The following is a 24,185-nucleotide window of genomic DNA, read 5'->3' as shown; positions in this document are numbered from 1 at the left end:
ATGTTGTATCAATTCAGAAGTTACTCTTTTATATAACATCTCCTAAAGTCTCTTTTTGGAAGCTTAGTATTTGTGTTATTAAACTCATTGTAGTACTGTCAAGTACTCTAGATGCTTCTGTAGTAAATATTAAGAAAACATGCCTATGTGATATTATAACAGGTATTTAAAATTCTCAAGCTAGAAATGTTAAATTTTTCATAGAAAAACTTAAAAAAAGGCCCATATTTGGATTTTAATGTATGATGGTCTTTATTTACAACTTTATTGGCAAAAAAGAAAAGGGAAACTTTTAAACAATTTAACACAGGGCATTGTAGCTGATCCTGTCAGATAAAAGAAGTTCCATTTTAAATGTCCATCTAATTGTCCAAAGATACACAATACTGAATCTGCATACGCAGTTTCCTTTATGAAGTACAGTGCTCATGTTTTAGGCAGTCTTCTAAACATACAAATACAGAGGAAATTAAATCACTCATTAAAAACTGTGTCAAATGAAGGGTATTTTAAATATAAGTTTGTTGTTTCTGGTAATAGCACATGCCCAAATGAAAACCAAAAGATGGAAAGGCAGATACACTTCTTACTTGGGTGGACAGTTACAACATCAATCATTTTCTGCAATGACCATTATATTTTCAATTTATCATGAACTACTCTGAACTTACTATGAGATGTAGCCAAAGTCAGAAGAGAAGATGTAGGGACAAGATGCCTTTTTTGCAGGAGGTTAACTCCTCCAGAATCAGCATAGGAAATAAACATCCTGTTGATTCTAGGTGGAAAGAAATTAATGTAGTCAATTTCAACTCGTGCTGAGCTGACTTAATTTTTTCAGCGATGTGTTTGGTGTCATTCTTCTAAATCAAGTGTATTTAATTCTTCTTCTAGTTCATCCAAATCCTCTCCAGTGAAAAGATTTTCATCAACAGGAACAGCATCAATGGCTCCATTTTCCGTTCCCTCCCTCTCGTTGTCCTCTTCCAAGTCACTTCTTTCACCATTTTCAGCCCTACCTCCAGAAGCTTCACTTAATTTGTTTTCTAAATATAAAAACTGGAATCAGTAAGGCGTAGAAGCAGAAAACACCATTCCACATTAGCAATAGACAACATAGACTGATACTACACTTCCTCTTTTCCTTTTCTCCATGAAAGCCATTTCCCCAGAATTACTCCAGCAAGAACTGATCATTCTTTTCTGAGCTTATCTGTGCCAATTATCTATACCTACTATAAAATACTGTTTTTCACTGTAGCCATTTGACTACTTAATGGTTTATACATTTGAGGGCAGGATCAATCTTCTACACCTCTGTGTTCCCTACATGACCTAGCAATTAGATTTTAAATAGTCAATTTCCATATAATATTTTATTTGACTAAATGGTTATGGAAACCAAAAAAATGTTTGTAATATAAGCAGCTACTTGGCTTTTGGTTTTGCAAATAGTATTTAAATCATGCTGTTGTAATGCTGTGATTGTGACAGCAGAAAATCTTCATCATGTAATCAAATTGTTAAAAAAAAACATAGTGCTATACAGCTACTTTTTCTTATAGGTTATAAATAACTGAGAGAAAAAAAATGCTGCCTTTTCTTGTTCAATGCCATTGACAATTACACAGACATTTTTTAACAGCCTAATTTAGATTTTAGTTATTTCAAACATCTCTGATGACAAAGTCTTGGGAATTTTATAATCTCTGAATTATTTGCAGTTGTGCCTATTGTCACCAAAGCCCCTACTTCTACAAAGAGCAAGTCAATCTGAATACTGGCAAGATAGTGGTTTGCTAACACTCTCAGATCTTGGGAGGGCAAGCTGGTTTTTCAAGTTACAGCTTGTGTGCTTTTATTGTAAAAATAATGTTCAGCCTTTTCTGTCTCAGCTTTTGCCTTAATGGGCATTTCTTCTGCTGTTTTCTCCCAGAGCAAGCATGCCAAACTTTTACCCCTTTCTTCAAGTACCTAACTCAAGGCACAATTAGACATAAATTATACCAACAATCCTAGACAGCCTTCCCTCCATTCTCATACCTAACTCATTATTTATACTTTCATGTATTGCTTCTATAACTAATCTTTTATCATCAACTTCTCCTCCTTACCAGATCCTCTTCCTCTGAGCTACAGATACATTTAGGTTTTCCATATCCTAAAAAGCCCTTCCCATGACCATGTCTTCCCTCTAAACATTAAGAGAGAGAGGACTGTATTCATTTTTCTTCTCACCGTTATCATTGCAGTCTCAATGAAACTGGCACCCTATTCCTATAACCAATTACAACCAGTAACTTATTTATATTCTTTTTCATCCTACTTGCTTCTTTGGAAACTTGTTTCTTGATTTTTCTCTGACCTTCTCAATGTCTTTCCTAAGCATTTCTTCTTTTACTTACCCCATAACACTGATGTTCTGTAGGGTGTTCATGTCTACACAATATCCTAGACAGTGCACTTTTGATAATCAAAAAATCTCAAACTCATGAGGTCCCGAAGTGAACTCATTGACTTTAACTCCAAGCTCATTTTTGTCTCCTTCTAGTTTCCATTAATGATTTTAATATACACCCAGCTGCTCATGTCTACAGCCTTTCACTATTTATTACTGCTTTTATTTATGGTCAAACCACACATTTATGTTACCAATCTGGTACCTGCACACATCTAAGTTTGCCAAGCCTGGTATAACCCCCTTTAGATAACTTCCTAGTTCTTAAAATTAGGCAAAAGTTAGCATACTTACCATCTTTATCTGAAGTATATGTGCTGAATCTTTCAAGACTGGCTACAGTAATACCTGTTTCATCTACATCTCTTGGGATGTACAGGCTTAAATCTATGTCATTTACACTCACTGAATCATCAACCTTTAACAACATATAGAAAAGAAAGTTGTTACAAATAAGAACAGTTTTCTTTTACTCCTGACATTTATCTTAATGAGCCAAAATTATCACTGATCCAAGTGAAAACAAAAGACCAATTACTGGCCAGGTGTGGAGGCTCACACCTGTAATCCCAACACTTTGGGAGGTCGAGGTGGAGGATCACCTGGGCTTAGGAGTTTGAGACCAGCCTGAGCAACAAAGCCAGACCTTGTCTCTATAAAAAACAAAAACAAAAGATCTATTTTCAAAATTATTTTTTCTAAACTTCGTTTAAAAAGAATAGCAAGGTGGTATATGAAACTTCTTCCTCTGCCATCACATTTTTATATATAGAGTACAATTTTTTTCTTTCAACCCAGAGGCCAGAATTTTGTAAGTACACAAAAAATCAACAGTAAGTTATCTGTTATTACTAAATCTGTCAACAACCAAATGACTGTGCTATTGTCTCATGCTCCCTACACTGCAGTTTTAAATTAGTGCACTTGTCCCATAACTTTTAAGCATAAAATATTAACCAAAAAATAACTCTCTCTTTTAGAGGGAGGACAAAACATACTTTTTACAGGTAATACATATAGCACTCAACCACATACTAGGCACTGTCCTAAGCTGTATAAAGAACTACTAATTCATGAACTCGATTAATTCTCACAAACTATGATGTAGAGATAATCATTATGTCCATATTAGATGAGGGTGGAGGCCTAGATTAATTTCCCATGGTTGGAGTAAGGATTTGAACCCAGGCACTGTGGCTCTGATGTTGGTGGCTCTTAACCATGTTGTGGTATTTTCTATTGTTTCTTTCAATTAACATAAGGAGATGAGGCACAAAGCTTCCTCTTACCTCATCACCACCTGTTCCCTGGGTGTAGCGGGTATCATCTGCTTCCTCATCATCATCATTGACCAGTTCAGGACGAAATTCAAACACTTCACGACCACTGATCTATTGAGACACACAAATATATCAACTCAGGACAAAAATCTAAACATTCCTTGTCACTGATGAAATAGAAACAAAATCTTGCATGACACAGAAATTGAAAATGGAAGAATAAAGAATCAGTTTGGGTGAGCCTGAGACATACCACTAGTGCTTTCCCTGCTTTGAAGTCAGCTTTCCTTCTTTCCATATCTTGTTCAAGTTTATCAATCTTTTCTTGTCTTTTCCTTTTCTTCCAGGCAAGAAAAGATTCTAGAGTGATTTTGGTAACATTTGGACCTAGGGCAGAACGCTGCAATGGTAAAGAATTAATTTTTTTTCCACAGAAGTCACCTCAAATAGTGCTTAGTTGCAGTTATCTCTTAATGTGATTAATTCCTTGCCCATGACTATCCTGAAGATATTACATTGGAATAAGCTAATTTATGTATTTTTTTACTTTACGTGGCAATGAGCAAAATGAGTATCCAGAGATACAAACACTAAAAATATATTATTCTGAGCTAGATTTCTTCTCACCATTGAAGATGAGTAACTTGTCATAAGAAATTGTTTTAACATGAATCAATTGCTGAAAATAATAAATATATTATAAAAAGCACCATAACAATATCCAAGTTTCATTTGTGTTCCTGAGAAGATGAGAAATAAAACTAAACAAACAAACAAACAAACAAACACCTACTCCTCAGGGCCAATAATCAAATAATAAATATATAGAACAAAAAATTTGCTGAACACTTGCCAGGTATTAAATGCTTTACACACACTATGCACTGATCCCCACAAATAGGTGAACAAAGGGTAATGGGGAATTTACCAAAGATGAATAGCTAACAAGTGTCAGAACCAGTATACAAACCATCTCAAATATACCTGATTCTGAAGTCTACATTTTCTATTATAGTGTGTTATATCCTGAGTGAGACACTAAATAATAAGGCAAAATGGATATAGTTTTTAATATGCAACCCTAAATCTAATGTTTCTAATAATCTCAAAATTTTCATAGAATAAAACTGTGTTTTGTACGGAGCCAAAGACAAGTAGCTGAATATCCTCTTCAGACTCATTCCCTTCTATAAGCAGAGTGAGTGTTTTGAGTCCAGAGCTGATAAAACATATAATTTAAAAACTAGAGTGTTGTCTTCTTCCGTACATATGCTAATAACTAATATACTAGTGAAAAAAGATATCAGGGCGAAAAATCTAAAACTATAAAAATTCAACCAATCTGAGAACTAAGCATTTTTAGTAACTCAATCTTACAGAAATAATTTGATAAGCCATTAGCTAGTACTTAAAAGACTGTTTCACAATCCTAAAATTAATGTCATGATTGGCTAATGTTTATGGCTAGGTTAACATTTTACACATACAAGAATAATTAAAGTAGGGCAACTTTGGGAATAGATCACAATATTTTTTTTTTCCTTTCATAAAAGGCTATTGCCCCAAGTGGTAAGTATTAGAATTTCACAATAAATACTGCTTTCAGTTTTTATGGTAGGAAAAGGATACCAGTTACCTCTCTCTCAATTAGATCTTCTAATGAAATTTCATCTTCTTTCTCTTCTTTCTTTTTATCTTTTTTCAACACAAATCCAGGAGGAAGTGCATGACGATACATGCAAATATCACCCCCTCCAGGGCATACCCAAAACCAGCCATACTTGTTGTTTTCAATAGCTTCCAGGAAATGCTTGCACACCTATAGAGACAATATTATTCACAAGCGGTGGCTCAGTGTAGGCCATTTCCAAGGTAAATGCCTGAGTATATGGAACAAGTATACACACAAGTACGTTATATTACACAAGTACATTCTATTCATTTCTGCACATAAGGGTGCTCTGTCTAGCCTCTATTCTGTGCAGAAATGCAACAGAAGTTTATCTTAAAATATGTAGAACAATGGCAAATTCCCTTAAAGGGGAATCTATACAGTTTTCATTTGTTCTAAATTCTAAATCATACGAAAATGACTTACTTGTTTCAGTTACCCTTTGTAAATGTACGCCCCCGAATCAGAATATACAATTAGCTATAAAAAATAAAATCAGGCCAGGCGTTGTGGCTTACACCTATAATCCCAGCACTTTGGGAGGCCGAGGCGGGCGGATCACCTGCTGAGGTCAGGAGTTCAAGACCAGCCTGGCTAACATGGTGAACCTCCACTTCTACTAAAAATACAAAAAATTAGCTGGCCGTGGTGGCACATGCCTGTAACCCCAGCTACTTGGGAGGCTGACGCAGGAGAATCTCTTGAACCCGGAAAGCAGAGGTTGCAGTGAGCTAAGATTGCGCCACTGCACTCCAGCTTGGGCAACAAGAGCAAAACTCCGCCTCAAAAATAAAATAAATAGAATAAATGATTTTCTTTGGTTTGATCTTTCCTAAATAAAAATGAATCACAAGCAGTATACAGGAGCAAGGTACAAAAGGAACACAAAGAGAGTGACCCTTCACAACATGGATAGAAGATACAATTGTATTTAAGCCTCAAGTATTAAGCTTTGCAAGTAAGAGAAAATTAACAAACAGTATCCGCCCCCAAAAACAAACATAACAGATGTGTATGAATGTAGTATTTAGAATTATTCTAGCACAGCAAGACTTTTTACTGTAACTTCACTATAAATATAGACATAAATGCAAAGTTTGAGACATCAAGAACCAATTTTTAAAGGTACATTTCCTGGAATTAGAGCCACTACCTACCAAAAATTCATTTTGGAATTCATATGTAGAAATATTTTAAACCTTAAAATTTAAAAATCTATCCCTATTAAAACTAAATACATTATTAAGTGGGTTAGTTTAACAGGCCTCCTTCCACTCTGTGCAAAAAAATAGGGATTTTTGTCTGGATATGTAATTTTGTTTATCCATATTTGAGAACGTTCACCTCAGAAAATGGCATTTAAAGGACTTCAGTAACATAGTTTTATTCTTGTTCAGCTATTTCTGAACAAGAATCTATAAAATCTAACTTGTAAATTCCAAAAATAAAGCTTCGTGTACCTTATCTTGATGAAATCAAATTTTCCAGTAACTTACAGAATAATCTAATAGAAAATAGCAGCAAATACCTTGCCACATAATTCTCCCTAATGATAAATATCACAGCAACTCAATTCAAGAAAAGGACATACTATTTGAGTTTTTGGTTTTTTCTTTTCCGCCTCACCGTGCTTCTTGTTCACTACTTCTTCCAGCTTTTTCTCATCCCAATTATCCATAGTATCTAAATAAAGAAATGAAGATTAAATACTGTAATCTTATCTACTACTCCCACAACACATATCTCCTTAGACACTAATGCTGTGTTATAAGACTCATGGCTTAACACATTTTTCTTTTTCTTTTTGTTGAGACGGGGTCTCACTGTTGCTCAGGATGGAGTGTGATAGCATGATCACGGCCTACTGAAGCCCTAACCTCCCTCAATCAGCCTTGATTGACTGAGCTCGATCAATTCCTCCTGCCTTAGCCTCCCAAGCAGCTGGGTCTACAGGTATGCAACACAATGCCTGGCTAATTTTTCTATTTTTTTGTAGAGATGGGGTCTCATTATGTTGCCTATGCTGGTCTTGAACTCTTGGGCTCAAGTGATTCTTCCTGCCTTGGCCTCCCAAAGTGCTGGGATTATAGGCATGAGCCACTGCTCCTGGCCTCACGGTTTTCTTAAAACACCAAAGGCAGAAATAAATAGTTTTAAGATTATTCACCAAGGCCGGAGCAGTGGCTCATGCCTGTAATCCCAGCACTTTGAGAGGCCAGCGTGGGCAGATCACGAAGTCAGGAGATCAAGACCATCCTGGCCAACATGGTGAAACCCCATCTCTACTAAAAATACAAAAATGAGCTGGGCGTGGCGGCACGACCCTGTAGACCCAGCTACTTGGGAGGCTGAGGCAGGAGAATTGCTTGAACCTGGGAGATGGAGACTGCAGTGAGCTGAGATCGTGCCACTGCACTCCAGTCTGGGCGACAGAGCCAAGACTCCGTCTCAAAAAAAAAAAAGAAAATTATTCACCAAAGCTTCCTAAGTACTTTGGATAAATGAGCAGGTAGTACTGAAGGAAAGGGTGACAGACAATTCCAAAATAAATCACTGTTTTTTAAAGTATCTTCATTTACTTAAAGGGCATATTATGGTAATTTTCAGATTTTATAAAAAATAATAAACCCAATTAATTATTTTTTATAAACAGTCTATTAAGATTGAAATGTTCTTCAATTTAATAAATATCTTAGTAGCAAACCGAAAGTATTCAACATTTATTTTTAAGAGAGTGTTTTTAAAAAAATTACCTTTTTCAAGTTCTTCATCTCTTGCATCAATGTAAACACTTCGCTTTTCACATTTTCTCTCCAGAGTCAAGTCATGGGAGAACTTACACTTATCTCCTTTAGTACACTGTCCTTGCTTGAAGAATGCACATACTACAGACTTGGGATCTGCACCTATGTCAAATGGCATATGGTATTTGTATTATAATCTGCCAGGCTGTAAAGTATAGATTCTACCTGAAATATGATGAATTTTGGTTAACTTATTTTCCATTCACTGATGTGAGAGGAAAACGGCACTTATGGGTGATTAGCAAGACATTTCTTTAAAGTTCTTTTTGTAGCATTTATGTCTACTTTTGTTTCTTTTATTCTGACTATGAAAGGTGGCAGAGAGTGGGAAACCAAACAAGAACATAGGCTATTTCACAGGCTTTGTCTAGTTGATGTCAATAGGGCAAGAGGCAAAAAGGAGGCCAGGCATGGTGGCTCACACCTGTAATTCCAGCACTCTGGGAGGCCGAGGCAGACAGATAACGAGGTCAGGAGATCGAGCCCATCCTGGCCAACATGATGAAATCCCGTCTCTATTAAAAATACAAAAACTAGCTGGGCGTGGTAGTGCGTGCCTGTAATCCCAGCTACCTGGGAGGCTGAGGCAGGACAATGGCTTGAACCAGACAGTCGGAGGTTGCAGTGAGCTGAGATGGTGCCACTGCACTCCAGCCTGGTGACAGAGCAACAATCCATCTCAAAAAAACAAAAACAAAAACAAAAACAAAAAAAGGCAAAAAAGAAATGAACATACATGACAGAACAGTGCCAAAAACTTGGGACGTACAGTTTATTCAACTATGGCTTTGCTTACCTACTACCAAAGACTGAATGTTATAAATCAATTAGCAGTCTATTAAATTACTAATTTTGCCTTAAGTGTGGGGTGCATGGCTGCAGTTCAGCTGTACAATGACACAGATGTGAACATATACAGAGGAATCATAAGCAACCCACTGACATAGGTAATTTTGATGGAGTAACATTTTCATTCAGACATAACTGTCTCATTATCTAAAGAAAATAAACATCAAAATAAATAGTTTTTAGCATAAACTACATTTGATAAAAAATCACACTTCTGAAATTTTAAGTTTACCTTTACTTATTTTTTGAGCAGCAACTACAGGTTTGAACAGCTCATTTAGCTCCTGCAATTCTTTCTTCTTGTCATCCTTCTTCAATTTCTTTTCAGCTTCACTCTGTGCTACCTATAATATTCCCAGGTTTAAAATGTAAATTTGATTGTTTACAAAATTGTTTTTACTACAAAGTTAGCATTACCATAACAAGACACTTGCATATTTACAGTCCTTACCTTTTAACATCAGTGTTATAATGGCCTTACAGAGTCTATTCAATGTTGTGGTTAAACTATTAAACAAAATTGTAATGATGGTACCATGCCTAGTTAAAAGCAAAAGCTTACAGCAACAAGCATTTATTAAGCACTTACTACATGCTCAGCATTTTTAGCAAATAGTTTTCACCTGCAATATTCTTCTGTGAAAACAACCCACTCCCCAGAAACGTACAGGTTCATTTTGAAGATGAGACAAGCAAACATCCTGAAATGTACAGTCCCACATGATAATGAATTATACCACCCCAAAAACCTATATAGTGCCCTCATGGAAAAACACTGGGTTAGGTCAATGTAGGATATTAAACAAAACAATTCAAAACAAAACATGACATATAACATAGTTCCAGGCACACGATTTACATACCTAATATGATTAGAGGATTCATCCAAACATTTATACGTCAGGTCCTATGTTAGATGACAGAGAATACAATGAAAAGACAAAGATGCTTATTTAAAGAAGCTCAGAATCTAGCAGGATGACAGACATGTCAACAACTGTAACATAGTACATAGTGCTCTGGGAACAAAGAATGCCCATATACCTGAGAAAACTAAATTGAGCCAATAACCTTATGGATGAGTTTTTCTTGATGGGCAAGAAAAGAAATACAGAAAGAGCCAGCCAATGCAAAGTTACAGGGACTAGAGGAATAAAGTATGAGAAACATCAGTAAGATGCTTAGATTGCATCAGTAGCTTGAACAGAGTTCTCTCAACTGTTTAAAGTAACCCAATAACAAGGTCAGGTCACATTTTATAAAATATCAAGAGGGCAAGTTTTGTAGAGGATGGATTGGGAATCCAAGAATAAAGGCAAGAGGCTGCTGCAACTGCTGTACACAATAAAACACAAGAGCTTAAAATGAGCATTACTGGTAAGGATGGAGAAAAGGAGACAGAGCTGATAGGACTGACTGAACATGAAGTATAAAGGGGGAGGAATCTAGGATTATCATGTATATGGTTAGTGCCGTTAAACAAGACAGGGAATACAGGAGGAACAGGTTTCAGGGTAAGAGGTGAAGATGAGCTTAGTTTTAGACATACAGAGTGCAAGATGCTTACAAAGCATCTGGGTAGAGCTCTTTTGAAGGCAGATAGACATGCATATTGATTCCACTGAAATCAGAGAGGGTCTGCTTTGAGATAAAGACTTTAGAAATAGCAGCTTACAGGTAACAATTAAAACTTTGGGTATATGGTACTTAAGGAGAGCATAAAAAAGTGGCAAGAGTAAAGGACACTTCCTTGAAGAAAATCAACATAAAATGGGACAAAAGAACCTAAAAAGTCCAATAAAAAGACCTAGAAACATCAAAGAAGCAGGTAGAAAACCAGGACAAAATGTGTTCAAGAAAGAGGAAATTTTAGGAAAGGAATGGCCAAATGCTATAATTAGGTCAAAGACATCCCAAATCCTGAATATGACTCTATATGGTGGATGTGTTTAAACACAAAAAATGTTTTGAAAGAAAAAATTTAAGTCGCTTAATTTTTAATAGAAGTATCCTTTGCTCATCAGGCCCATCTCAAACATTTGTGGGGCAATGTTTGAGCAAGAATACAATGGAGGTCTACAAGCCATTTATCTAAATATTTAAAATTAGAAATCAAGTTCATGATGAATAAAATATGGTCTGTAACCCTACTCGACAAATATACCTTATGACCTGGAAGGACAGGTTCAAATTTAAAATGCTCAGACTCCATGGAGTTCCACACTGAAGCATGGCAGCAACACAAGAGTTAGCCCTGGGCTCTTTTTTCTCCTCTTCCCACCCCGTTTCATTCCATTTTGGGTGTAGGGGGAGGTAAAGGTGCAAGAAGGAAGGAAAGGGTATGGATGCAGGCTCTGTTCAAACCCTTAGCGTACACTGTTCTCTTGGCTACCTCAGACATATTGGTAGCACAATGGACAGAGATGGGCATGGTGGAGAGGCCTTTGTAGGCAGATAAACCAGGGTCAGAATGTTGTAGGAAGAGATGTTGCAAAATCTGGGTGGGTACATCCCCTTGGCTTCAGTGACTCCTTACCTGAGGGGAGACAGCAGTCTGGAGAAGACACATGTATCGCAGGGCCTAGACCAGGATACCCCCTGTCCAGCTCTAAGAGCAGCACTACTGCTCATTTCCGATGTTATATATGATGGGTAGGTACCCCATGTTCACAGATAAGTCCAGTTATCCACGCAAGTATCAAAAATATAGTATTAAATATACTATCAAAGCTAACTACCAGCACACACATTTCATAACTTTCCCAGGTTTATGAATTCTGATATCACCACTCAAAACACTTTCCACTAGAAGAAAAAGTTGGGGAAGAGAAAGCAGGATTGAAAAAGGGGCTAAGTGAAGAAAGTGAGTTCTTCTTACATATTGATATCTATATTCACCAGAAAATTTACATTATTTTCTTATTTAACCACCAGAAGAATCCAACAAAGAATAACTGCACTTCCACAGTACAGATAAAGACCAGGGTTGCTATTTAAGGATCATGTAACAAAAAAGATAGGAAGATTCACACCCAAGTCTATCTCACTGCAAGGTCTCAGCTGATCTGCCCGCCCCGGCCTCCCAAAGTGCTGGGATTACAGGCGTGAGCTCTAAACATTAATTTTTATTAAACCGGGCTATTAAGTTAGCAGTTTGGAAGAGCAATAGTTTTAGATTCTAGAATCAAGCTGGGAAAATGGATGTGAAAGGAAAGTGTTGGGTCACTGATTTGCAGACAGCATGAGCAAGAGAAATTTACTTATCTCACAAATACATATTAGCAGATTTTTAAAAAATCTGTAAACACATGAGAAATTCTTTCTTCTCTCCTACATTACAAAAATGTGTTTCCAGAAGTTAATGAAAAGGAGATAAAAATGGTGGAAAAATGTACTTTAAAAATAAAGATCCATGTCTATGAAATCTTTACAAGTGAGAGGTCTAAAGAACCTGAAAAAAAAAGGGGCTACATTTTTTTCAAATGAGTTGCCAATGGATAAACTCATTTTAAAATTCGTATGAAAGAATAAATGCCTAAGAACAACCAGGAAAAATAGAAAAGGTATACCATTTTGGGGAAAAGACTTGCCTTGAGACTTTAATGTACAGTCAAGCACAGAATTAATGACATTTAGGTCAATGAGGGACCACATATGACAGTAATCCTGTAAGGTTATAATACCATATTTTTACTCTATCTTTTCTATGTTCAGACACAAATCATTACTAATGTGTTACAACTGCCTACAGTATTCAGTACAGTAACATGCTGTATAAGTTAGAAGCCTTGGATCAATAGGCTATACCATATAGCCTAGGTGTGTAGTAGGCTGTAATATCTAGGTTTGTGTAAGTACACTCTATGATATTTGCACAATGACTAAATCGCCTAACGACACATTTCTCAGATTGTATCCACATCACTAAACAATGTATGACTATGACTGTAGGATAATAGTGGTATTTCAGTTGGATAAATGATGCTGGTGTAAGCAGCTATTCATTTAAAAGAAAACAAACTTAGTCTGGGCATGGTGGCTCACGTGTGTAATCCTAGCACTTTGGGAGGCCAAGGCAGGCGGATTGTGAGGCCACCCTGGGTGACACGGCGAAATCCCGTCTCTACAAAAAATACAAAAATTAGCTAGGTGTGGTGTCATGCGCCTGTAGTCCCAGCTACTTAGGAGGATGAGGCAGGTGGATGGCTTGAACCCAGGAGGCAGAGGCCGCAGTGAGCCAAGATCACACCATTGTATTCCTGCCTGGGCAACAGAGTGAGAACTTTAAGATATATAAAATAAATTCATATGACATAGACTATAAAAATAAAATAATTACAAATGATCTAGGAAAAACATGCAGAATCCAGTGGCAGGGGAGACCTTATAACCATATTTTTAAAAAGCTAGCAACATATCTAGCAATATTAAACTCTATATATACATGTAAGTTAAAAATTGGTGCATGGCAAAACATAACTGAAATATCACCAATTATCTGCAATGCAGACAAAAGGTATCTCATAAATTGACAAGAAAAAGACAACCAATAAAGCAAATAATTTCAATAGGGAAGTCATAGAAGTGCAAACCCAAACAGCTAACAAGTATACAAAAGATACTCTCCAGTAGCGAGGGAAACAATGTAACAATAAGATATCACTTTATACTTATCAGATTGTAACACATTAAAAAGAACTTTAGTATCTATTGCTCATGTACTACAAATGAAAATGTGAAGTACTACAGCCTCTATGGAAAGTGATCTGGCAAATTTATAATGTTAAAATTAGAAATCCATTTCCCTTGATCTGGAGTCTGTTACCAGCTAATTTATGCCACAGAAATAAAAGCATAAACACATGTAAGAACTCCTGTATTTCTACAGGTGGTCTTAGTGTCAGAAAGCTGGAAACAAAGTGATCACTTATGAACAGTGAAATAGATGAATATAACACACCTGTACTGTAGAACGGCATGCAATCATTATTAGAATAAATGAGAGTTATATCAAAATGGCTTGGACAATATCCAAGAGGTACTGCTGGTAAGGAAGGCCAAGGTGCAAAAACATTTCAAGTAGGATTCTGTTTTGAAATACAATTATATAATAATACCAGACATTTTATCTGAAACAGAGGCTATATTAATATTACATTTATAAAAAGATATGGACATTTAAATTACTTACCTGACGTGGATTTTGTTGACCAAATTTAACTTGATGTGTGACAGCCTTGATAAACTTCTGTTGCTTTGCTCCTTTCTTATTCTTCAAACCGAAAGTTTTGTCCTACATGAGAAAGAGCACAGAAATATCTTAGCAATTTATGTTACCATATATATCCTCCAATGATATCTAAAAATCATTATTTTTATTGATAATTATTCTTTACTAATATAAAAACATGCAAAACACTAAACATCAAGTCAAGGCAATATATGACCTTAAATCATCACCCAGATTCTTTACAATTCAATATGTACTCAACATTATCATCATTAAACCTGTTATTCTATGAAGCTTTTTAAATTTTATTATTTTTATATATATTTTTTATTATACTTTAAGTTCTAGGGTACATGTGTACAACGTGCAGGTTTGTTACATATGTATACATGTGCCATGTTGGTGTGCTGCACCCATTAACTCGTCATTTACATTAGGTACATCTCCTAATGCTATCCCTCCCCTCCGCCACCCCACAACAGGCCCCGGTGTGTGATGTTCCCCTTCCTGTGTCCAAGTGTTCTCATTGTTCGATTCCCACCTATGAGTGAGAACATGAGGTGTTTGGTTTTTTGTCCTTGCGATAGTTTGCTAAGAATGATGGTTTCCAGTTTCTATGAAGCTTTTTCTAAAGCATATTTTGGATATCAGTTCTATGGGATGTGCAAAGTTCTTATATTGGGATAAGAAGTCCTGTAGTTAAATACATTTAGGAAAATGCTTGATTAAAAGGATTCTTAATTCTTAAGCACAAGGTATCTTACAGCCCTTATCAGAGGGAATATAATAATATGCAGCACCTCCAAATCATCCTTTGTAGCAGAATCCATTTTTACTCAGAGTATCTTGAGAGGTTATACGATACTGAACACATTTTTGGGACTACTACATAAGAAGAGGAAGATACATTCAGTTCTGGACTGGTTTTTTAGTTAATAAATGTTATCCTCTCAAAAACAATTAAATTTAATAAAGAAATCAAACTACTGAAATGTATACATTCCTAGTTATTGCTAAGATGGAAATACTAAAAGTATGTAAATTAAAAGCAACATTTTCTTTAAATCTGGAATATTAATACAGTAACTTGGTAATATTCAATATAACAGCAGCTATCACTTATGGAATGCTCATTATGTGCTAAGCACTAATGGTGATCCTTGGCTATCTACTCATATTTAGTAAGTATGCAGTATGGGGTTGGGGGGAGAAAAACATTAAAAAAAATAAGTATGCAGTACAAAAACATATAGAAGCCATTGCACAAGTATGAGCAAGCGTGTGTGTGGAGGGGAGCAGTGGTCTGTAGTGGGCTGAATTTTGGAATGTCCCCCAAAATTCAAGTCCACCTGACCATAAATTTGACTTTATTTGGACGTAGGTCTTCACAGATGTAATGAGTTAAGATGACATCATACTAGATTAAGGTAGGCCCTAGATCCAATAACTGGTGCCTTAATAAGGACCACACAGGCACAAAGTGAAGGAAATGTGAAGACAGAGTGACACTGCTATATAAGCCAAAGAATGCCAAGGATTGACAGATGCCACCAGAAACTAGGACAAGGCAAGGAAGAATTCTTCCCTACAGTCTTCAGAGGGAGGGAGCATGGCCCTGCTGACACTAATTTCAGACTTCTAGCCTCCAGATCTCTGAGAGAATAAATTTCTGTTGTTTTAAGTGACCCAGTTTGTAGTCATGTTACAGCAGTTCTAAGAAACTCATATAGCAGGCTTGACTAGTGAGCTTCTCCCTAAGGTGAATGTGTGACAAGCCTGACAAGAAACCAAATGCTAATATCTGAAATATTTTTTCTGGGTCTTTTCTGGTTCTCTGGAGAAAGATCCTCCAGCTGGGAGGGCAATAAGTCTAACTGTAAACAAGAGAAAAGAGCAGGTAGAAGGGGTCTCAGTTTACTGTACAGACTTACTAGCTTCCATTTTCAGGCTCACATCCCACCTCCTCTGTGCTTAGTGTTCCAGAAGCAGAGAGGCCTGTTCTCTGCCACCTCCCACCTCCAAGAAGACCCCTCCTGTTTCTTGCAGAGGTAGTCACCTGGCTGAGCTGTAGTAGATAAGAATTATTAATTACTCCTAACACTTTTAACTTCTAGTTTTCAGCCTCTTGCCTTCTGTATTACCTAGTGCTTCCCATTGTTGAGTTTTTTTTTTTTTTCATAATTTTGCAGAGGAAATGCACTTGCTTCTTACAGGCACACTCCTAGACAGGCACTCAGACATAACCGCTCTGCTCTAAGTCAGTTACCAACTCATCCATCTACTGCCAATCTTCATATGCTGAGGTCCAAGATTACAGATGTCTTCTAATTTCAAAATAGAATTTGTATTTCTTTCTCATTCTCTTGTTTATGGGTGGTTTTAGAGAGGAAGAAGAGGCAAAAAGGTCTTCTCAAAGTAATTTGAGACCCTCTGAGTGGCATTTAGTATGAAACAAGTGGCCATTTTATAGCCTTTATTTTGCTATTATTTCTAAGGGAAAGGAAAAGTAATAATGAGTAGAAAGAATAATAGATACAAAATACCACCACGTGGACAAGCTAGAAAAAGAAAACAATAGTACTGAAACAATTAGTATTTAAAAACATACAACATGACATAATGTTTACAGCAACCTCAAAATCAGTAAAAGATCTTTCAATAGTCTTAAGACAAAAAAGTACAGAGGGTTTTGCTTCTAAATGGTTATCTCTCATTGGGAAATATCTCTTTATTCATGACATCTATATCCATATACCAAAACTTTGCTTTCCTCTACTTAAATGCTTGTTTCATGATTTAACATCCCAACATGGTATTATACAAAATTCTACATGAATTTTCTACAGCCTATGTGTATGAAAAAAGGTAAGAAGCACAAACAAGCTGGATGTTTCTGCACTGAGCCTTTTACGGATGGCTTCCCTTGTTTCTATAAAGAAAGTTTAACACTCAATTCAATTTGAAGAAAGATGGTCAACATAATGTGATACATACAGATGAACACAGTGCAGCAACTAAGTATAAAATGCCATACTTTTCCTTTACAAAAAGTGAGCTCTCACGGGAGGGAGAGGAGGCTCTAGAAAAAAATATGATCAGGATTAAACAGCATCTACAGGTGCTCTGCCAGAGAAAATAAACTGCGGTTCAACCCATGCTCCATCTGTAACTACAGAGAAGAAACAATGAATAAATAAGGCCAAATAGCAAAGCAGATACTGCCAGATAGACTTAGGAAAGAAAAATGTCCCCTAAGGGGACCTGGCCAGTAAGAAAAGAAAGCACTCACAATGGCAGTTTCTGGTAAAGGTGTATAAACTCCCGATCCCAGAAGAAGAAAAAAAAAATCAGGTTTCATTACACTGCTCTGGCACATAAATAACCAGTTTAAAGAGATAATAAGTGAGTTGTGTTCACCTCTAAGTTAGAGCTCAGAAATTAACATTTTTCCACAGAGAAAGGGGACACTTATTTATCTAGTATTCACTAAACATAAACATAACCCCTGAATATATACTTTATTGAATCCTCTCAACAATTCTATGATACACAGAAACTCAGAAATGATAAATTCATTTGAAGTTAAGTCATTAATAAGGGGCTGGCTGTATAGTGCAAGCATTTAGAAGCATAAACTCTGGAGCCAGACTGCCCAAATTTTAATCCCAAACAGAGCTGGGTAAATTACCCTCTTTGCCACAGTTTCTTATTTGTAAAGTGAGTCTCACTTAGGGTTGTTGTGAAAGTTAAAAGATTTACCTCAGAGAGACAGTGGTGGACAGCAAGGACTCTAGAGGCAGACTTCCTGTGTTAGAATCCCTGGCACAGTTACTTGCCAGGTTAGTAAACTTGGGCAAGTTATTTAATATCTATGCCTGTTTTCAAAACTGCAAAAAGGGTAATAATACATATCCCACTGAGAGAATCAAAGGAGCTAGTATATTTATCACTTGTAGTTGGCTTGTCTCTCTTCTCTCCTTCTCCCCAAAACACTGAGAACCTTGTCTGGGCCAGTAAATGTTAACTATTAAGTGACAGATGATATTTGAACCTAGGTATATTTGACTCCAAGCAAATTCCTTCTACAGTTTTTAATAAACTACTTCCCAGAGAAACCTCATTAAGTTATTGGGCTGGTTGGTGCGCAATAACCTTTCTAAATATCACACTGCAGATCTGAGATACCAATAGCACCTCTTGAAAACAGAATGATTTGCAATTTGGAGAAGTTCAAAAAGGCTTCTTCCTGAGTTTAGGACAGAGCCCTACCTAAAGATTAACCTGAATTACAAGGTAGAAAAAAAGGAGGTTACAGTCAACCCCAAACCACAGTTAAAATAAAACTAGGAGAATAATGGTCCTCATTGGATTAATAAGGTCCCAAAAGTTAACATGATAGTAAAGGAACTGCGTGTTTATGTGTGTTTCAGAAGACAACTTGGGACATGAATACAGAGGAGTCTCGAAAGAAAAGGATGACTTCCTGAGGCTCCAAGAGCCTTAACACTCAGTAAATTCCAGGCTTCACTTAAAACTTCCCTCCCATCCGTACGTAATCCCATTCCTTTTACGGGCCAGCCTCCACTGCTTAAATAAGATGTTTGGAAAAAGGGAAGCAGCGGAAGGGCAGGTCAACACTGAATAGTGCTCCAAGATAATGGAGTCTACCCTCTTGGGACATTCGGGTAGGCAGAAGCTGTCACGGTTTTCCCTCATTAGTTTTCTCCCAAATGCACTAATGTATTCTTGTTGTCCATCCATGCAATATATATTATGCAACTGGTTAATCCAGCTTCAAGTAATCAACATTTGATTTTGGCTATTGGTAGCTGTTCTACACTGGCAACCAATTTCTCTTGCTCCATCTTTCACGACACCTGGATCCTGTCTCTATAGGTCCCTATTACTATTTCCTTGCTGATACAAGTTCTTAGCTGGGTATCTTTTATTTGCTTGCCCTAAGTCCAAGATTATTTCCTTCTTTCCATATTCAAACTTTCTATTGCTCAATACTGACTCCATTTGTCACTAAATTTTAGTTGTAAGAAAGCAAATGGTATATGCCATTTCAGACTAATGTGTTAATTTCTAACAGAACCATAATCCTGTTTGACATATTCATTTCGGAAAGTATTAATACAAATGAATTCATAAAGTTTTGGGGCATTTGAAGAGGCAAATAAAAAAAATGGAGGCAATATTAAAAAATGGAGGCAATATTAAAAAATGGGCAGGAACTAAGCACTGTATAGACTGTGCAGATCAGTCTGATGTCCCCTAGTTTTTATTTATAATACACTATCAAAATAGGCAATAACAATAGCTGCCATTTACTGAATATATACACCATATGGCAGGCACTTTACATGTATTATCTCATTTAACTCACGGGAACTAGCTGCATTTTGCAGATGAGAATTGCATTCCAGCTAGATTTTGTAACTTGTCTAAAACTATAGAGCTAGTAATTTGAAACATGGGACTCAAACCCAGGTCTCTGACTCCAAAGCTAGTGTTCCTTTCATTAATTTATGCTATCTGATGTCTCTTTTACTTCCTTAGAGTTCCCAAAACCTGCATGTTGATTTTTCCACAGTGAAGGTCCATAGAGGTGGCAGCAGAACAGGTACAGAAGAGGAAAGAGGTAGGTAGGACAACCATTATTTTCAAGTCTATTGAAACGTGCTGCTTAAAAATACATGTTTTAGTTAACTATTAATTTTGAGCAATTTAGAATTTCAGGTCATACAGCTATAAAACCTCCCAAAGTTAACCAGATTCTGAAATAAGTATCAGTCTTTATATGTCAAAATAGACTATAAAAAAGTAGTATTTCCCCCTCCAAAATTATAACAGTCACAGAGATCAATTATCTTCTTGGAATAGTCACTGAGACGTGCTAGGCTTTTAGGGAAGTTTAAAAAAAAAGTTGCCTATATAATGAAGCAGACTATATCATTTCCTAACCAGGCTGAATAACAGAATAGTCTCTATAAATCTAATTTCACAAATGCTGTAACTTAACACTACAATTCAAAATATTGTTGTACCTCTCCAGTAGTAGCAAATATCAATGTTGCACATGAGTCTGACAAACTTTGTTGCAGTATTTTTTGAAAAAGCTCATCAGGTCCCTGGACCAGAACATAAAAGAACATCTAGATTACAAGATGTCAGGCTAGGAGGACCTTCTTAAAGGCAAGTGGACACATTTCAAAGGAAACAAACTATGATCACTGAGAAACAAATGGAATATTTGAACATCTTGTTCACTAAGAACCCATACCCAAACCTCAGTCTTCAGAAAGAAATGGCCTCAAAGACATACATCCAACGGTACTGCAGGTTAGGTTAAAGAATGATAGCACAAAACACAAGAAAGCAAAATGCAAGCATATTCAGCAAAAGCAAGAAGCTCAACAACTGCAATTAACTGAGGGTGTAGTCAAGACCAGTCCTTCCCAGAGAAATAGACACACCACCCAGATCCCCTAATGATGCCTATCCTGTAGCTCTAATGTATACAGATGATTGGACACTCTCATGCCAACTCAGCGTATGCCCCAAGGTTAAGGTCCCTACAGATGACTCCATTAGCCACAAAATAATCCATTCTGGCTGCCGAGATTTTAACAAACACCGCCTCTAACCCATTTTGGAATCCTAAGTTTGTTTTTCAAGCGTCAATTATAACGTCTTTTGGTTCCTCCAAGTAGAGAGAGACACTAAACACAAAAGGTGACATATTGTAATGGTTCCCATACAAGAGAATACTTTTCAGCAATAAGGAACATACTAGAAATATACACAACATGCATGGATCTCAAAAACACTGCATGGTGTGAAAGCAAGAAGAAGGACACAAAGGCTACCTACTGTATAATTTATATGAGTTCCTAGAGTGGTAAAAACTAATCTATCCTGTCAAAAAAATTAGTGGCTGCACGTGTGGAAAGAATTAAATAGAAAGAGGCACAAAACAAATTTAGTGGGGTGATAGAAATGTTTCAAGTCTTAATTAGGGTGGCAGCTACCTGGGTGAATAAATTCCTCAAAACACATAGAACTATACATCTAGAACCTGTACATTTTATTTTACATAAGTTATACCTCAACAAAAAATAAATTAAAAAAATAATATATATTAAATGTAGAAAACACAAAATCGGGCTTAATTTCACCACTTTGTTGTTGTTAATATTTTTAGTTAAAAAGTGCAGTTGTCTTATTTTGCATTTTTCTTTGGAGATACCTTCATTATTGAAACTAAAATTGCTTTCTCTTTAGCTAAAAAATAATTTCGTCACAAGATGACTAGAATCATAACATATGCATCATTTTAAAAGTTGATGGATACTATAAACAACTTTCACACATAATTCCTTAAAATAAGAATACTAGTCCTACTAATTAAAAATAAAACAATTAGATATAGAGAAAGCTCTACAATGCATGAAGTATAATTTAAATTGTCTAAATTATTACATAACATTTAATTTCAATGGGAGTTTTACTTCGTATCAGGGTCCAATCTCGAGGAAAACGACATCCCTAAAATGTCCTTGGTTTTCATAAAAGTGAATGCCATCCGATCAGCAACCCCTGAAATTTACCTAAGTGCCACGAATCCAGATTGTTCAAATAAGGTAATAGAAAACACAGATGTGAAGGTAATATTTTGTTTTTAAGTGTCTGGCTATAGTACTTCATGACAGTTTTAAACTGTACAAATTGGCAATAAGAATACCAGTTCTCCTCCAAAGTTGGAACCTGGCCAAGTATAGCAAAATTCTTAAGCATTTTCTTAAATCCAATGAGCAGACTTTACACCTTATGCGGTAAAATGGTCATGGCTTTTTCTAATTATATCCAAAGTACAAGAGGTCCTATTTAATTATGAGGAGGATTAATAGCAGAAATCGAGGGAAGAAATACCTCGTTGGGGTCTGTATGGTATGTTTACGTAATGTCAAATATGGTTCATCTTTTAAGGAAACTCAATTCAGTTGTTGGAAAACAAGTGCACAACATGTAAGAACGTCAATAGCGTTCCTTGGCCATTAAAGGGCTACAGGCTCAATGTGTTAAACGAATATATATACACACACATATATACACATATACACACACATAGATGTATACATATATACACGCGCACACACACACATATATCTCAAACTGGGTTACGGGACTTCACACAATTAGTGACACTGAAACCTAATCTCTTTTAAGGCGTTATCCTATTTAATCCACTTCAGAATGTAAGTACCAAGCTCTGCGTTCAAGACCCTGGGTTGTGACGGAAAGTCCTTCCATTCTTTATGGGACTTTAAACATTTCAGAGGTGGATCGAAAAAGCCACCAAGTCGTAATTTGTTGGTTCAAAAGAACTAACAGTACCATCCCTGGGTGACGGGTAAAGAAATAACGAACACAAAGACTCGTCATGAGTCGGTCTTCCAGAAAGACGCTGGCCCGAGACCGTTCAGCGTATTTCTTCACACATAACCTTGGAAAATCTCCTCAATTCTGAGAGGACTAGCGAAGGATAAAACCCTGTGCCAGTCCCGAGGGGTCATTTCGCACCCGGGTGCATGGGTGGGTGAACACGGGCGTGTGGGCGGAGAGGCAAAGCCCAGGTGCGGGGGCGCCAGCAGCGTCACTATAGTAATGAGAGAGCTAGCGTCATCAGGGGCTGGAGAAGGGGCAGTGGGCCACACAGGCCTAAGGGAGGAACACGTGGCCCGAGGAAGCGAGCCGGCTCCCAGGGAAGCCCGGAGCGGGGAAGTGGCTTTCCGGAGGGCTCGCGGCGTGAGTGGGGGAGGGGTGGGTACTCACTTCGATAATCTTCTCCTTCTTTTTTTGCTCCGCCTTTTTGCTGCCCCCGGCCTGAGCCTGTTTCTTGGGGGGCATTGCGGAGACAGATGGCACCGGCCAGACTTACGCGCAGCTGAATACCGTCAGGGGTTCTGGCCCTGCGGCAGGACGAGGAGGAAGACCGGGGCCTCACTCGCCGCACCGCACGGAAAGCGAGTCGCTCATTGGCCCCGCAAACGCGGCCTTTGCGACAGGTCGATGTCGCAGAGCATAGTGGGTAGCGAGGAGCGGCTCCCGGAAGCGGAGCTGCGCGTGCGCGCCCACTGCGTCCCACTAGGAGGGGGCAGGGACGGGACGTGGGAAAATGACTACGCGTCACTCGTGATGTCGCGCATCCGATAGGCCCTTTTCAGATGGCAAAAGGCCTGAGGGTGAATCTGGGCGAGCTGGTTGAGTCCATGCGTTTGTGCTTCCTCTCAGTCCACTTTCGCTTACGATGGGGCGACTCTTGTCCATCGTCACCTCACCGGGAAACTTTTCCTGCCGGGCCAGTTAATGGTCCCCTGTACCATCCCCATCCTGAGTGACTACTAAGCAGCCGCAGCGACTCGGGGTTGCTCCGTGACCACGTTACTCAGTTAACCTTCTTGTTCCCTGGAGAGGCGGAGCTGAATGGCCCGTGAGTGTCGCGTGCTTCAGATTCCTGCGAAGGATTATTTAAAAAATGGAAAAAGTTAACTTTCATTTGCAGGGTCCCTTTCATTTGAAGAGCATCTGAGATGGCGTCCCAGATAAGGAGGCACTTGAACTCCTTAGAAGTACTGTATTAAGTTATTTTGAGACTTTAGGAGAGTGCCTAGGTGATTCCTAAAAATTCCTTTATAACGTGAAAGTAACCAAACTTAGTTAGAACTTAGTTTAAGTGCTTGGTAGCTCCAGAAATTCCTTGGCACATTACACACACTATTTCATTTAGTTATCACAACGACACTTAGGTGGGAGTTGTTACTGTTTTCGTTTTATAGATGAAGCAGAGAAAGGAAGAAAGATGCCCAAAGTTATATTAAGGACAGAG

The 24,185-nt window shown here is 37.4% G+C and overlaps 1 protein-coding gene, 1 long non-coding RNA gene and 1 pseudogene across 2 annotated transcripts in view, besides 1 other annotated feature; 2 read left to right on the top strand and 1 right to left on the bottom strand.

Annotated features, from left to right (window-relative positions):
• Window positions 1-227: 227 nt before the first annotated feature.
• On the bottom strand, window positions 228-23,329 carry ZC3H15 (zinc finger CCCH-type containing 15). Its single transcript, NM_018471.3, has 10 exons — window positions 23,132-23,329; window positions 14,255-14,356; window positions 9,296-9,407; window positions 8,164-8,316; window positions 7,002-7,093; window positions 5,375-5,557; window positions 3,992-4,138; window positions 3,748-3,849; window positions 2,753-2,876; window positions 228-1,046 (listed from the first exon to the last, which is right to left on the bottom strand). Exons 1-10 carry the CDS (start codon window positions 23,204-23,206, stop codon window positions 856-858), a joined length of 1,281 nt encoding a protein of 426 aa, NP_060941.2. The 5' UTR covers window positions 23,207-23,329; the 3' UTR covers window positions 228-855.
• On the top strand, window positions 20,420-21,033 carry DPRXP1 (divergent-paired related homeobox pseudogene 1; annotated as a pseudogene).
• Window positions 23,220-23,699: an enhancer, noted in NCBI's record as "active region_16843". NCBI's record gives its function as "activates an Ori minimal core promoter by ATAC-STARR-seq in GM12878 lymphoblastoid cells {active_cell/tissue: GM12878}" and the evidence as "EXISTENCE:reporter gene assay evidence [ECO:0000049][PMID:35858748]".
• Window positions 23,589-24,185, top strand: part of LOC105373785 (uncharacterized) — a 29,999-nt gene continuing 29,402 nt past the window's right edge. Inside the window, exon 1 of the long non-coding RNA XR_001739147.3 lies at window positions 23,589-23,789. This is a non-coding gene — a long non-coding RNA (uncharacterized LOC105373785). The remainder of the gene's footprint in view (window positions 23,790-24,185) is intronic.

This window comes from Homo sapiens, chromosome 2 (genome assembly GCF_000001405.40).
Source record: "Homo sapiens chromosome 2, GRCh38.p14 Primary Assembly".
In the NCBI taxonomy this organism is placed as follows: domain Eukaryota; kingdom Metazoa; phylum Chordata; class Mammalia; order Primates; family Hominidae; genus Homo; species Homo sapiens.
This window is presented reverse-complemented; position numbering and strand designations above follow the sequence as displayed.

What these genes read in the sequence shown, in the direction of transcription:
- ZC3H15 (NM_018471.3), bottom strand. Translation starts at nt 23,206, where the DNA reads ATGCCCCCCAAGAAACAGGCTCAGGCCGGGGGCAGCAAAAAGGCGGAG. An exon ending in GTCAACAAAATCCACGTCAG is followed by an intron (nt 9,408 to 14,254) that starts GTAAGTAATTTA and finishes GGAATATTATAG; the next exon opens with GTAGCACAGAGTGAAGCTGA. An exon ending in AAGCAGGGAAAGCACTAGTG is followed by an intron (nt 3,850 to 3,991) that starts GTATGTCTCAGG and finishes GTGTCTCAATAG; the next exon opens with ATCAGTGGTCGTGAAGTGTT.